Raw genomic sequence first — 15,088 nt, forward strand, 5'->3', positions numbered from 1 at the left:
CCTCCCACTGCGACGGAAGCACAGCGGTTAAGATTGCAGAAGTCTGGGGACTGCACCTTGCCCAGGCCTGTGGGTGGAAGGGGATGCTGTGGCCCTTGGGGGCCAGGGTGGGGGACCCAGACGGGGCTCTGCAAAGTGGCCAGCACTGCTGAGTCTCCCCCAGGGAATGGGCTGGTCCCAGTTGCACTGCTGGCCCCCATTTGAATTCACAGGAAATGCTAACTAAACTGGTTTCTTTTGTTCTCAGCACTGGGAAGCCTGGGTGGGGGGGATGAGGCATCTCCTTCTGGCTGAACTTAGGTGGGTAGGGGAATATTCTGTCCCCAGAGAGGAAGTTAATGGGGAAAACTGTAGGCACCATTGTGTAGATGTTAAGGTGGGATTTCGAGGAAACATTAAAAAACAAAAACAAAAACAGAAACAGAAGCAGAGTCTTGCTATGTTGCCCCGACTGGTCTTGAACTCCTGGCCTTAAGATGGCCTCCTCTCATCTTGACCTCCCAAAGTGTTGCGATTACAGGCGTGAGCCACCACGCCTGGCCACCTTTGAAGATCTTGAGGATACCTCCCTATCTTTGAAGATCTTGGGGATCCCCCATCCCCTGCACAAAGAGCTAAGGTAGGTGATTTGGGGACAGCTGAGTCCCTGAGCCACTGTCTATCCAGGATTCTACTTGGTTTTTGTTTGTTTGTTTTGAGACAGAGTCTCACTCTGTCACCCAGGTTGGAGTGCAGTGGCGGGATCTCGGCTCACTGCAGCCTCTGCCTCCCGGGTTCAAACGATTTTCCTGCCTCAGCCTCCCGAGTAGCTGGGATTACAGGCATGTGCCACCACGCCCGGCTAATTTTTGTACTTTTTGGTAGAGACGGGGTTTCACCATGTTGGCCAAGCTGGTCTCAAACTTCTGACCTCAAGTGAGCTGCCCGCCTTGGCCTCCCAAAGTGTTGGGATTACAGGCGTGAGCCACTGCGCCCGGCCTTCCAGGATTCTACTTGTAACTGGCCTTTACCCCATCCTGTTGTCCCCTTGCCCACCCTTCCAGGCAGCTGGTCACTGCATTCCAAGGGAAGGCGCCAAGGGGACCAGGTGGGACCCCCACCTTTGACCTGCCTCTGACCTCAGGCCTCTGACCTGCCTTCTGGGCTTCACATCTGAGCTCCAGAGAGAGAGGCCTTGTTGAGAGCCTTGATGGGGCCCTGCACTCACCCACTTTCCCCAGACCTTGAGGTCACAGCACCTCCTCTCTCATCTAGAGCACCCCCACCTTCCTAAGCAGGTCCCTCCTCTATTCCTCTACCTTCCGAACAATCCATTTCCCACCTGGTGTTGAGAGAGCAGCTAAAACCCAAGTCTAGTGTATTTGTAAACAGCAGGGACCAGTAGCATGGGCCTGGTGCCTGTAGTCCCAGCTCCTTGGAAGGCTGAGGTGAGAGGATCGCTTGAGCCTGGGAGGTCAAAGCTGCAGTGAGTCGAGATTGTGCCCCTGCACTCCAGCCTGGGAGACACAGTGAGACCCTGTTTCCACAAAAAAAAAAAAAAAAAAAAAAGATGTCGGACTTACTGGCTCACGTCTGTAATCCTAGCAGCACTTTGGGAGGCTGAGGTAGGTGGATGACGAGGTCAGGAAATCGAGACCATCCTGGCTAACACAGTGAAACCCCATCTCCACCAAAAATATAAAAAATTAGCTGGGCATTGTGGCGGGCACCTGTAGTCCCAGTTACTCAGGAGGCTGAGGCAGGAGAATCACTTGAACCCAAGAGGCGGAGGTTGCAGTGAGTGGAGATTGTGCCGCTGCACTCCAGCCTGGGTGACAGAGCAAGACTCTGTCTCAGAAAAACAAACAAACAAACAAACATATATATATAATTTATAATACTTACGTAATAGTGAGACCCTGTCTCTAAAAATAAAAAAGAAAGAAATATTTGTAAATAAGTCATATTTCTTTTTTGTTTTTTGAAACAGAGTCTCACCGTGTCGCCTAGGCTGGAGTGCAGGGGCACAATCTCAGCTAACTGCAATCTCAGCCTCCTGGGTTCAAGTGATCCTCCCACCTCAGCCTCCCTAGGAGCTGAGACCACAGGTACACACCACTGTGCCTGGCTAATTTTCTGTAGAGACGGCTTTCACCATATTGCCCAGGTTGGTCTTGAACTCCTAAGCTTAAGGGATCTGCCTGCCTCGACCTCCCAAAGTGCTGGGATTATAGGCGTGCCCTGCTACACCCGCCAGTAATATTTCTGATAAAGAAGTATTTCTGGGCCAGGTGTGGTAGCTCACGCCTGTAATCCTAGCACTTTGGGAGGCTGAGGCGGGCAGATCACGAGGTAAGGAGATCGAGACCATCCTGGTTAACACGGTGAAACCCCATCTCTACTAAAAATACAAAAAAAAATTAGCCCCGTCTCTACTAAAAATACAAAAAAAAATGGTGGCAGGTGCCTGTAGTCCCAGCTACTCGGGAGGCTGAGGCAGGAGAATGGCGTGAACCCAGAAGGCGGAGCTTGCAGTGAGCCGAGATCGCGCCACTGCACTCCATCCAGGCTGGGCAACAGAGTGAGACTCCATCTCAAAAAAAAAAAAAAAGAGTATTTCTGGGCCAGGCGTGGTGGCTCACACCTGTAATCTTAACACTTTGGGAGGCCTAGACAGGCGGATCCCTTGAGGTCGGGAGTTCCAGACCAGCCTGGGCAGCATGCCAAAACCCTGTCTCTACTAAAAATACAAAAAATCGGCCAGGTGCAGTGGCTCACGCCTGTAATCCCAGCACTTTGGGAGGCCGAGGCGGGCGGATCACGAGGTCAGGAGATCGAGACCATCCTGGCTAACACGGTGAAACCCCGTCTCTACTAAAAAAAATACAAAAATTAGCTGGGCATGGTGGCGGGCGCCTGTAGTACCAGCTACTTGGGAGGCTGAGGCAGGAGAATAGTGTGAACCCGGGAGGCAGAGCTTGCAGTGAGCTGAGATTGCGCCACTGCACTCCAGCCTGGGCGACAGAGCGAGACTCCATCTCGAAAAAAAAAAAAAAAGTACAAAAAAATCAGCCAAGCTTGATGGCACACACCTGTAGTCCCAGCTACTCAGGAGGCTGCAGCGGGAGGATTGCTTGAGCCCGGGAAGTGGAGGTTGCAGTTAGCTGAGATTGTGCCCCTGCACTCCAGCCTGGGCGACAGAGAAAGGTCACCTACACATGTTTAAGGGGCCTCTGCACATATCTCAAGCCATTGACAAGAAAGCAAGTACAGTCTGGATTGCAAACAATGTATAATTTAAGCTCCAGCTGATTTTTTTTTTTTTTTTGAGACAGGGTCTCAGTCTGTCACCCAGGCTGGAGTGCAGTGGCATAGTCTGGGCTCACTGCAACCTCTGCCTCCCAGGTTCAAGTGATTCTCCCGCCTCAACTTCCCAAGTAGCTGGGATTACAGGCATGCACCACCACACCCAGCTAATTTTTTGCATTTTTAGTAGAGACGGGGTTTCACCATGTTGACCAGGCTAGTCTCAAACTCCTGACCTCAGGTGATCCGCCCGCCTCGGCCTCCCAAAGTGCTAGGATTACAGGCGTGAGCCACCGCGCCTGGCCTCCAGCTGATTTTTGACAGCCACATTGTTGCTATAGGATCCTTTTTACGTGTGATGGTGATGGTCTCTGGTTCTCCTCATTCCCACAAAGGTTGTTGAACCACAGCACCAGTAACACTGAGAATGCTAAGGGCTCTAGCCCAGGCTTTCTCCCAGGTTCTCTGGTGTGCGCCCTCCTGGTGACAATGAAATTGAAGCTAATTGCTTTCACTGGTTGAGTCTCTGATCTTGAGTGGCTGTGTCCACATTTCATTTTTTTTTTTTCTGGTAGGAATAACTACTTTTCTGCATCCATGCTCCATAGACTCTGTCCTTTTCAGACATCCTGGGATAAAAAGATTTGGCTTTTTTTTTTTTCTTCTTCTTCCTGAGACAGGGTCTGGCTCTGTCTCCCAGGCTGGAATGCAGTGACATAATCATGGCTCACTGCAACCTTGACCTCCCAGGCTCAGGTGATCCTCCCACCTCAGCCTCCCTAGTAGCTGGGACTATAGGTGTGTGCCACTACACTCGGCTAATTTTTGTATTTTTTCTACAGAGGAGCTTTTGACATATTGCCCAGGCTGTTCTCGAACCCCTGGGCTCAAGTGATCCTCCCAACTCAACCTCCCAAAGTGCTGGGATTATTACAGGGGTGAGCCACTGTGCTGGGCTTTCACTCTTAGGCTATTAAACAATGAAGGTAGTTATTGATCCTATCTCTTTCATATTCTTCTTCTTTTTTTTTTTTTGAGAATGAGTCTTGCTCTGTCTCCCAGGCTGGGCTCACTGCAATCTCCACCTCCCAGGTTCAAGCGATTCTCCTGCCTCAGCCTCCTGAGTAGCTGGGATCACAGGCGTGCGCCACCACACCCAGCTAATTTTTGTATTTTTATTAGAGACGGGGGTTTCACCATGTTGGTCAGGCTGGCATATTCTTCTTTCTAAGAACTGAGAGTGAGGGGGCTGTATTGAATCTCTTCATGCACCAGGAACTGAGTTCTGAAGATGATCTTATTATTATCAGTATTTTTTGAGATGGGTTCTCACTCTGTTGCCCAGGCTGGAGTGAGGTGGTTCAGTCTTGGCTCACTGCAACCTCTGCCTTCCAGGTCCAAGCGATTCTCCTGCCTCAGCCTCCCAAGTAGCTGGGATTACAGGCGTCTGCCACCAGGCTTGAGCTACCACGCCCAGCCAAAAGAGCATATATTATGTATAGAAATAATAAGACGAGCCAGGTGCGGTGGCTCATGCCTATAATCCCAGGACTTTGGGAGGCTGAAGCGGATGGATCACCTGAGGTCAGGAGTTCGAGACCAGCCTGACTAACATGAGGAAACCCAGTCTCTACTAAAAATACAAAAAATTAGCCAGACATGGTGGCTCGTGCCTGTAATCCCAGCTACTCAGGAGGCTGAGGCCGGAGAATCACTTGAACCTTGGAGGAGTTTGCAGTGAGCCGAGGTCACACCATTGCACTCCAGCTTGGGCAACAAGAGAGAAACAACGTCTCAAAAACAAACAAACAAACAAACAAAACCCAAGAAATAATAAGACCATTTGGAATTACTGGACTAATAGAATAGTTAAGGTTTCTTATAGAGGCAATAAAATGTATTTTGAAAGAGCTGCTAACTATTGATGCTGACAGTATTTCATTCCTGTGAGTGACTCAAGCATATTATAAATAGCTAGTAAAAGCCTGGCCAACATGGCAACTAAAAATACAAAAAATTCACCGGACGTGGTGGCGCATGCCTGTACTTACAGCTACTTGGAAGACTGAGGCCCAAGAACCGACTGAGCCCTGGAGGCCGAGGTTGCAGTGAGCCGAGATCATGCCACTGCACTCCAGCCAGGATGACAGAGGAGAGAGACTCCGTCGCAAAAATAAAAATAAATAAATAAATAAATACCTCGTAAAGGGAACGGAGCCTGTGGGGTTGAGCAAAATGTACTAGCTGTGCCTGCAGTGAGTATAACAGCTTTACGATTATGAGGAAACAATTTTTTCTTTTCTTTTTTTTTTTTTGAGATTAAGTCTTGCTCTGTCGCCCAGGCTGGAGTGCGGTGGCACGATCTCGGCTCACTACAACCTCCACCTCCCAGGTTCAAGTGATTCTCCTGCCTCAGCCACCCAAGTAGCTGAGATAACAGGCGCCCGCCACCACACCCAGCTAATTTTTGTATTTTTAGTAGAGACAGGGGTTTCACCATGTTGGCCAGGCTGGTCTTTAACTCCTGACCTCAGGTGATTCACCCACCTTGGCCTCCCAAAGAGTTGGGATTACAGGCATGAGCTACTGCGCCCGGCCCCAGCCAAAATTTTTAATAGCAATGCAGAAAAAGAAGAAAACATGACAGGCGCAGTGGCTCATGACTGTAATTCCAGCACTTTGGGAGGCTGAGGCGAGCAGATCACCTGAGGTTAGGAGTTCGAGACCAGCCTGGCCAACATGGCGAAACCCCATCTCTACTAAAAATACAAAAATTAGCCAGGCGTACTGGCCCCACGCCTGTAATCCCAGCTACTCAGGAGGCTGAGGCAGGAGAATCACTTGGACCCAGGAGGCAGAGGTTGCAGTGAGCCGACATCGTGCCACTGCACTCCAGCCTGGGCGACAGAGCAAGGCTCCATCTCAAAAAAAAAAGTCAACAAGACAAACAACCTAGTTTCATCCACAAATATGTTGCAAGGGGGCAAAAGACAGAAAGAGGAACCCACAGACCAAAAGAGACGTAAGAAAACTGGCCTCGAGCAAATGCAATTGGGGACTTTGTTTGTATTTTTATTTATTTTTATTTTTTATTTTATTTTATTTTTTGAGATGGAGTTTCACTCTTGTTGCCCAGACTGGAGTGCAATGGCACAATCTCAGCTCACTGCAACCTCCGCCTCCTGGGTTTAAGTGATTCTCCTGCCTCAGCCTCCTGAGTAGCTGGGATTACAGGCACACGCCACCGCATCCGGCTAATTTTTGTATTTTTAGTAGAGATGGGGTTTTGCCATGTTGGCCATGTTGGTCTTGAACTCCTGACCTCAGGTGATCCGCCTGCCTTGGCCTCCCAAAGTGCTGGGATTACAGGCGTGAGTCACTGTGCCCGGCCCTGTATTTTTATTTATTTTATTTTTTCAGAACTAAAAGAGACTTACAGAAAACTGGCCTCAACCAAACGCAATTGGGGACCTTGTTTGTATTTTTATTTTTTTATTCAGAACTAAAAATAAATGATCTATTGGGCGGGTGTGGTGGCTCATACCTGAAAGCCCAGCACTTTGGGAGGCTGAGGTAGAGGGATCATTTAAGCCCGGGACTTCATCAACCTGGGTAACATGGAGAAACTTCGCCTCTACAAAAAATACAGAAATTAGCTTAAGCGTGGGAGGCGGAGGTTGTAGTGAGCAGAGATTGCGCCACTGCACTCCAGCCTGGATGACAGAGCAAGACTCTGTTTCAAAACTATGGGGACAGTAAATAACAGATCAGCAGTTGCCAGGGGTTAGTGAGAAGAGAGGGATGAACAGGCAGCGCATGAATGACGTTTAGCGCAGTGAAACTACTCCATGTGATACTATATTGGTGGGTTCATGCCTTATACGTTTGTCCAGCCCCACAGAACGTACAACAGCAAGAGTGAACCCTCATGTAAAGTACAGACCTCAGGAGAAAATGATATGTCAGTGGAGGTTCATAGATTTTTTTTTTCAGACAGAGTCTTGCTCTGCCGCTCAGGCTGGAGTGCAGTGGCATGATCTTGGCTCACTGCAACCTCCACCACCACCTCCTGGGTTCAAGCAATTCTCTTGCCTCAGCCTCCTAAGTAGCTGGGAGTACAGGTGCCTGCCACCATGCCTGGCTAGTTTTTGTATTTTTAGTAGAGATGGGGTTTCACCATGTTGCCCAGGCTGGTCTCGAACTCCTGACCTCCCAAAGTGCTGGAATTACAGGCATGAGTCACCGAGGTTCATAGATTCTAACACATGTATCACTGTGGTACAGGATAGGTCAGCAAGGGAGGTTGTGCAGGGGGATGGGAGGGAGGGGATATAGGAGAACTCTGTATTTTCCACTCAACTTTGCTGTAAACCTAAAACTGCTCTAAACAAATTGAGTGGTTATCCTACTACTCAAGAGGCTAAGGTGGGAGGATCACTTGAGCCCAGGAGTTTGAGACCAGGCTGGGCAGCAGAGTAAGACGCTGTGTCTACAAAAAATTTTAAAATTAGCCAGATGGCCAGGCATGGTGGCTCACACCTGTAATCCCAGCACTTTCGGAGGCTGAGGTGGGTGGATCACCTGAGGTCAGGAGTTCGAGACCAGCCTGGCCAACATGGTGAAATCCTGTCTCAACTAAAAATACAAAAATCAGCCAGGCGTGGTGGCGGGCGCCTGTAATCCCAGCTACTGGGGAGGCTGAAGCAGGAGAATCGCTTGAACCCTGGAGGTGGAGGTCGCACTGAGCCTAGACCGTACCATTGCACTCCAGCCTGGGTGACATAGTGAGACTCCCTCTCAAAAAAAAAAAAAAAAAAAAAAAAAAATTAGCCAGGTGACGTGGCAGGAGCCTATAGTCCCAGCTCCTACAGAGGCTGAGGTGGGAGGATCACTTGCGCCTGGGAGGTCAAGGTTGCCATGGGCTATAATAGCACCACTGTACTCCAGTGTGGGTGACAGAGCGAGACCCAGTCCCCAGCCCCACAAAAGAAGTCCTTCTGGGGATATTTAACTGCCTTTCACAAATGTGTCTGACCCACCATCTCAAGTCACACAGGCTAAGTAGAAACGCTTTGCCAAACACCAGAATAACAATAATACCTTTTTCTTTTCTTTTTTCAGACAGTCTTGCTCTATCGCCCAGGCTGGAGTGCAGTGGTGCGATCTCAGCTCAATGCACTCTGCCTTCCAGTTCAAGCAATTCTCCTGCCTCAGCCTCTAGAGTAGCTGAGATTACAGGTGTGTGCCACCACACCTGGCTAATTTTTGTATTTTTTTCCTCAACAAGAACAAACTTGGTAAATAACGATGATTGTTCATGGTTTCAGACTCCTTTTTTTTTTTTTTTTTTTTAAGTTCCAGGGTACATGTGCACAATGTGGTTTGTTACATAGGTATACATGTGCCATGTTGGTTTGCTGCACCCATTAACTCATCATCTACATTAGGTATTTCTCCTAATGCTATCCCTCCCGCAGGCCCCTACCCCACAACAGACCCCGGTGTGGGTGTGTGTTGTTCCCTGCCATGTGTCCAAGTGTTCTCATTGTTCAGTTCCCACCTATGAATGAGAACATGCGGTGTTTGGTTTTCTGTCCTTGTGATAGTTTGCTGAGAATGATGGTTTCCAGCTTCATTCGTGTCCCTGCAAAAGATATGAACTCATCCTATTTTATAGCTGCATAGTATTCCATGGTGTATATGTGCCACATTTTCTTAATCCAGTCTATCATTGATGGACATTTGGGTTGGTTCCAAGTCTTTGCTATTGTGAATAGTGCCGCAATAAACATACGTGTGCATGTGTCTTTTTTTATTTTTTTTTGAGACAGAGTTTTGCTCTTGTCACCCAGGCTGGAGTGCAATGGCTTGATCTTGGCTCATGGCAACCTCTGCCTCCTGGGTTCAAGTGATTCTCCTGCCTCAGCCTCCCAAGTAGCTGGGATTACAGACGCCTACCACAATGCCCAGCTAATTTTTGTATTTTTAGTAGACAAGGGTTTTGCCATGTTGGGCAGGCTGGTCTCAAACTCCTGACCTCAACTGATCCGCCCGCCTTGGCCTTTCAAAGTGCTGTGCTGGGATTACAGGCGTGAGCCACTCTATCCAGCCAACTTCATTTTTAAAATTTTTATTTTAAAATAATATAGGCTAGGTGTAGTGGCTCACGCCTGTAATCCCAACACTTTGGGAGGCCGAGGCGGGCAGATCACCTGAGGTCAGGAGTTTGAGAGCAGCCTGACCAACAAGATGTAACCCCGTCTCTACTAAAAATACAAAATTAGCCGAGTGTGGTGGCGTGCGCCTGTAATCCCAGCTACTCCGGAGGCTGAGGCAGGATAATCGCTTGAACTCAGGAGGGGGAGGTTGCAGTGAGCCGAGATAGCACCATTGCACTCCAGCCTGGAGAACAGTGAAACTGCCTCAAAAATAAATAAACAAATAAATAAATAAATAAAAATACGGACAGGATCTCCCTATGTTGCCCAGGCTGGTCTCGAACTCCTGGACTCAAGGGATCCTCCTGCCTCAGCCTCCCAAAGTGCTGGGGTTACAAGCAATGAGCCACTGCATCCAGTCAACAATAATATTGTATATTTATTTATTTAATTATTATTTTTTTGAGACAGAGTCTTTCTCTGTCACCCAGGCTGGAGTGCAGTGGTGCAATCTCGGCTCACTGCAATCTCCGCCTCCTGGGTTCATGACATTCTCCTGCCTCAGCCTCCCGAGTAGCTGGGACTACAGGCACCCGCCACCACGCCCGGCTAATTTTTTTGTATTTTTAGTAGACGGGGTTTCACCGTGTTAGCCAGGATGGTCTCAATCTCCTGACCTTGTGATCCTCGTGGCCTCCCAAAGTGCTGGGATTACAGGCGTGAGCTGCCGTGCCCGGCCAATATTGTATATTTATTAAGCACTTGTTTGCATGTCTTTCTGCTCAGCATTTCACAGACACCACCTCATGAGCTCTTTACATGAGTCCTATGAGATAGCAAGTGTGAAGCTCCCATAATGGAGGACTAAGGCCCAGAGAGGTGAAGCCATTAGCCTGAGGTCACACAAATGTGAAAGGGTGAAACTGGCAGTCTAATCTATGTGGCTTGTGACCGCCCCGACCAAATACTTTGTGTATTCAACAAGTAGTTATTGGCCAGGCGCAATGGCTCACACCTGTAATCCCAGCACTTTGGGAGGCGGAGGCAGGTGGATCACCTGAGGTCAGGAGTTCAAGACCAGCCTGGCCAATAAGGTGAAACCTCAACTCTACTAAAAATACAAAAAATTAGCCAGGCATGGAGGCGGTCACCTGTAGTCCCAGCTACTCGGGAGGCTGAGGCAGGAGAATGGTGTGAACCCAGGAGGCGGAGCTTGCAGTGAGCCTAGATCACGCCACTGCACTCCAGCCTGGGCGACAGAGCAAGACTCTGTCTCAAAAAGAAAAAAAAAAAAAAGTTAAACAGTTGAATCCAGCCACCTCTGCGCTGTCTCATGCTAGCTGCTGTCCACAGGAGACCAGACTCCCAGCTAACCCAGCTTTCTTGAAGAGGGCTCCAAAAATCACAGGCTCCAGCAGAGAAAACATGAGTTTATTACCAGATGGTGGAGATGGTGGGCCTCAAGTTTGGAAGCTGGGGGATTTAAGGGCTGGATTAGTGCCCCTACAAATGTTGGGTCCCTCAAGATCATGGTTAGGCTCACGGCCAAGAAAGAAAAATAAGTTCACAGAGGTGGGGTCTCTAGACAGGAGTAAGGCACACGGTGTGGGTGAGGCTGACATCCCCCTCTTGGTTTCATCCTGGAGCAGGGAGCAGGAGGCTCCCTCTGCAGCCACTGCCTGGTCCAGTCCTCCCAGGCAGGGCTGCCATTGTGCCTCAGCACACGCTGAACACTGAAGGGGCCTGGCCTTGGTACTTCTCATGGACTGTCTTCAGAATGGGTATGAGGTTCTCGAAGGTTGGGCGAAAGGACGCCTCTGTCTCCCAGCAGTTCTTCATGAGATGATAGACCTAGAAGGAAAAACCAGGGCTGGTGGGGGCTGCCCTCTCCACAGCAGGATAGTGGGGTCAGGGAAAGACAAAGGAAGTCTCACCTCACAGGGACATTTGTCGGGCCGTGGCAGCCTCTCCCCTCGTTCCAGCAACTCAGTGAGTCTCAGAACTGTCATCTGACCCTGAGCAATGCCTATGAGCTCAAGGAATTTCTACAGTATAAACAAGACAAGCTCTTTTCAAGAGGCAATGAAAGGCAGGCACGGTGGCTCATGCCTGTAATCCCAGCACTTTGGAAGGCTGAGGTGGGTGGATCACCTGAGGTCAGGAGTTCGAGACCAGCCTGGCCAACATGGTGAAACCCCATCTCTACTAAAAATACAAAAATTAGCTGGGCATAATGGCAGGCGCCCGTAATCCCAGCTACTTGGGAGGCTGAGGCAGGAGGATCGTCTGAACCTGGGAGGCGGAGGTTGCAGTGAGCCGAGATTGTGCCATTGCACTCCAGCCTGGGATACAAGTGTGAAACTCCATCTCAAAAAAGAAAAAGAAATCACTCTGCAACTTCATGAAATCGACTGCATGGGTTCCAATCCCACCTCTTACACTTCTCAGCTGTGTGACTTTGAATTTGAGTTCACTTCTCTGGGCCTGTTTTCTCATCCGTAAAATAGGGTAATAACATCTGCCACCTGGGATTACTGTGAACGTTAAACTAATATTCATAGAGTAAGCGTGAGTCAGGTGTTTGCCGTTATTATTAAGCCTCACAGCAGATTGTTCTTACCGTCCAGAATTTTTTTTTTGAGACAGTCTCTCGCTCTTTCACCCAGGCTGGAGTGCAGTGGCATGATCTCGGCTCACTGCAACCTTCGCCTACCGGGTTCAAGCAATTCTCCCTGCCTCAGCCGCCTGAGTAGCTGGGATTACAGGCACCTGCCACCACGCCCGGCTAATTTTTGTATTTTTAGTAGAGACGGGGTTTCACCATGTTGGCCAGGCTGGTCTCGATCTCCTGACCTCGTGATCTGCCCGCCTCGGCCTCCCAAAGTGCTGCGATTACAGGTGTCAGCCACCGCGCCCGGCCTATGCCTTTCTTTCCTTTCTTTTCTTTCTCTCTCTCTCCGTCCTGTCCTGTCTTAGACGGAGTCTCGCTCTGTCACCCAGCTGGAGTGCAGTCGGGAGATCTCGGCTCACTGCAAGCTCCGCCTCCCGGGTTCATGCCATTCTCCTGCCTCAGTCTCCTGAGTAGCTGGGACTACAGGCGCCCGCCACCACGCCTGGCTAATTTTTTTTGTATTTTTAGTAGAGACGGGTTTCACCGTGTTAGCCAGGTTGGTCTCGATCTCCTGACCTCGTGATCCGCCCGCCTCGGCCTCCCAAAGTGCTGGGATTACAGGCTTGAGCCACCGCGCCTGGCCCAGCCTATGCCTTTCTAATTGCTCTAGCAAACTCCCGGTGGGGCTGCGGGCCTGGCTCTCACCGTGGGGGGGCTCTGGCTGGAGTCACAGTGCGTCAGCAGCTCATACAGGGTCACCCCGAAGGACCAGACATCTGACGCATAGTAGAACTTATACTCCTTCAGGCACTCTGGGGCATACCTAGGGGGAGGGGGGCACTCAGGCCACGGGGGGCTGCACTGAGGGCTTGGGGATCAGACCAGGCTGAAGCCCTCACCTGAGACTGAAGGACCCTCTGGGCTCAGTTGGGACCCACCCTTAAGAGCGCAGCCTGAGCGGGGTGATATGCTCATTGGCTAGGCCGCTCATTGGCTAGGCCGGGTTAACCCCGCCCACCAGGCCAAGCCGCACTCTATACACCGCCCCTTGCCTCCATAGGCCCCACCCCCGCACCGCTAGGCCCCGCCGCGCTTCACTGGGATCATGCCCTATCATGATACCCAGCATCCGTCTACTCCACCCTGCCTGTTCCAAGTGACCCCAGCACCCCCTCAGACTGCACCCCGCCTGGTCACCAGAACACGGGGCTGTCCCCATCCTCGCGCACGCGGTAGTACTCGTGGCCTTCGGGCACGGCCTTGGCTAGGCCAAAGTCCCCGATCTTGACCAGCCTGTCGTTGTCCAGCAGCACGTTGCGCGCGGCTAGGTCTCGGTGGATGTAGTGCTGCGCGTGCAGATAGGCCATGCCCTGGGGACGGGGCAGGGCTCGTGAGTTTCAGTGGGGCGGGGTTCGGCCGGGGGCGGCGGCAGGACCTGAGCAGCCAGGAGGGCTGGGGGACAGTCAGGTCAGGCCGGTGGCTACCCGGCCGCTGGAGAGGGCCGGATGGCACGTGGCACCAAGCAAAAGGAGGCTGAGCCAGAAAGCAGGGACGGGGCTAGACGAGCAAAGCTGGGCAGGAGGGCGAGTTGGGAGGGGCCGAGCCGGCTGTGCGTGGTCCCTTGGGAGGAGGGGGTGTGGCCAAGCAAGCCAAACAGTTCGGAGGTCAGTGCAAGGACAAGACAGCCTGGGCAAACGAGCAGGGGCGGAGCGTGAGAGCAGACTGCACCGGATCGCTCAGGCCAGCCCAAGCTGAAGAGGAAGGGGCAAGCTCCAGAAGCAGGGGCGGGGCCGACCAACCTCGCAGATCTGCTGGGCGAAGAGCAGCAGCTGGGCCAGCCCGATGCTGTGCCGGGGCAGGTAGTCTCGGAGGCTGCCCAGGGGCACGTACTCCATGACCAGCTGCAGCGACTTCTCGCCTGCCGCGGAGAGGGGCGGCCCCGGTGGGGGACGATAGAGGGCGGGCCGGGGACCGCCTACCTTGAGCCCAGCAGAGCCCCTCCAAGGTCGGGAGGGAAGGCCAAGACCCGCGCACACTAGACCCAGTTCTCAGGTGGGATGGACCCATCCAGAACCCCATTCTCACTTGAGGGAGCTGCTGGTGGCTCCCGTCCATCCTGGCCCCAGCAGGTAGCACCCCCCAGATGGGAAGGAGGCAGCCCAGCCACGCTCACCCAGATGCCAAGAACCGCGTACTGCAGCCTGGGGTTGAGAGTCTCTAATTGGCTAGGCCAGACTGGCCCCGCCCACAAGGCCACACCCACGCTCTAACCACGCCCCCTCAAGTCTCTAGGACTCGCCGGGTCCCGCCCACCTTGGTCCTCGCAGCAGCCCTTGTACTTGATGATGTGCTCGTGGTAGAGCGTGCGCAGAATGTCAATCTCCTGCTTCCAGCCCGAGCGGTGCTGGGGGCCGCAGTCTGCCTTGAGGGCTTTCACCGCCACCATCTCGCCAGTGCCGTCGTTGGTCGGATCGTAGCAGTACAAGCTGACCTTGCCGAAGTGACCCTGGTCGGGAGCGCACGAGGGTCAGCTCCACCTCCCCAATCCCTGCACCACTCCCCAACCCCCGATTTCCCGGGCCACTCCTCCAGGCAGATCCTTTCGGAATACCCCAGGCCCCGCCTACTCCGCTCTATTAAGACTCCTTGGCACCTAGGCCTCCCTCAAAGCAGAGGGTCCCACCCACATCTCCTGAGAATCACCTTAGGTAGGAATTTATCCTCAACCCCCAAACTCCTTCCCGACCAGGCGGGCCTTTTAGCAGCTCAGGCCCGTCCCTCACCTCGCCCAGATCTCGGATCTTTTTCAAATAGCGCTTGTGGAAAACCGTAGGGTCCGACGCCGGTGAGTCCGGGTTCACAGTCAAGACGTCAGCAAGATCTGGAAGAGTTGCGGTGGGTAAAGGCCTGACCCCGATCCTTTCCCCAGCAGGCCCACACTTGGGAGTCACAAAGCCAGCCACAGCTACCCCAGGATCCGATTCTAGAGGTAAGAAAACTTTTTCCTGCAACAGCTGAAAGAGTCCACTTATTG

The 15,088-nt window shown here is 51.7% G+C and overlaps 1 protein-coding gene across 18 annotated transcripts in view, besides 4 other annotated features; it reads right to left on the minus strand.

Moving 5' to 3' along the window:
• Positions 53-800: an enhancer, noted in NCBI's record as "H3K27ac-H3K4me1 hESC enhancer chr19:10450403-10451150 (GRCh37/hg19 assembly coordinates)". NCBI's record gives its function as "activates a minimal SCP1, AML or CMV promoter by ChIP-STARR-seq in primed H9 embryonic stem cells {active_cell/tissue: H9 hESC(primed)}" and the evidence as "EXISTENCE:reporter gene assay evidence [ECO:0000049][PMID:30033119]".
• Positions 801-1,548: an enhancer, noted in NCBI's record as "H3K27ac-H3K4me1 hESC enhancer chr19:10451151-10451898 (GRCh37/hg19 assembly coordinates)". NCBI's record gives its function as "activates a minimal SCP1, AML or CMV promoter by ChIP-STARR-seq in primed H9 embryonic stem cells {active_cell/tissue: H9 hESC(primed)}" and the evidence as "EXISTENCE:reporter gene assay evidence [ECO:0000049][PMID:30033119]".
• Positions 10,859-15,088, minus strand: part of TYK2 (tyrosine kinase 2) — a 30,040-nt gene continuing 25,810 nt past the window's right edge. For 14 of the 18 annotated variants that reach the window (NM_001385199.1, NM_001406461.1, NM_001385205.1 and 11 more), the window contains 7 exons: positions 14,838-14,935; positions 14,368-14,560; positions 13,854-13,972; positions 13,252-13,424; positions 12,760-12,877; positions 11,378-11,488; positions 10,859-11,294 (listed from right to left, as the gene is read on the minus strand). In NM_001385199.1, the coding sequence (NP_001372128.1) occupies positions 11,160-11,294; positions 11,378-11,488; positions 12,760-12,877; positions 13,252-13,424; positions 13,854-13,972; positions 14,368-14,560; positions 14,838-14,935 (947 nt within the window). In that variant the 3' untranslated portion in view covers positions 10,859-11,159. Of the gene's footprint in view, positions 11,295-11,377; positions 11,811-12,759; positions 12,878-13,251; positions 13,425-13,853; positions 13,973-14,367; positions 14,561-14,837; positions 14,936-15,088 lie in introns of those variants that run through there. The other 4 variants (NM_001385198.1, NM_001385197.1, XM_047439304.1 and 1 more) reach the window with 4 other exon arrangements.
• Positions 13,573-14,336: an enhancer, noted in NCBI's record as "H3K27ac-H3K4me1 hESC enhancer chr19:10463923-10464686 (GRCh37/hg19 assembly coordinates)". NCBI's record gives its function as "activates a minimal SCP1, AML or CMV promoter by ChIP-STARR-seq in naive H9 embryonic stem cells {active_cell/tissue: H9 hESC(naive)}" and the evidence as "EXISTENCE:reporter gene assay evidence [ECO:0000049][PMID:30033119]".
• Positions 14,238-14,287: a silencer, noted in NCBI's record as "silent region_10065". NCBI's record gives its function as "represses an Ori minimal core promoter by ATAC-STARR-seq in GM12878 lymphoblastoid cells {active_cell/tissue: GM12878}" and the evidence as "EXISTENCE:reporter gene assay evidence [ECO:0000049][PMID:35858748]".

This window comes from Homo sapiens, chromosome 19 (assembly GCF_000001405.40).
Source record: "Homo sapiens chromosome 19, GRCh38.p14 Primary Assembly".
Classification (NCBI taxonomy): Eukaryota; Metazoa; Chordata; class Mammalia; order Primates; family Hominidae; genus Homo; species Homo sapiens.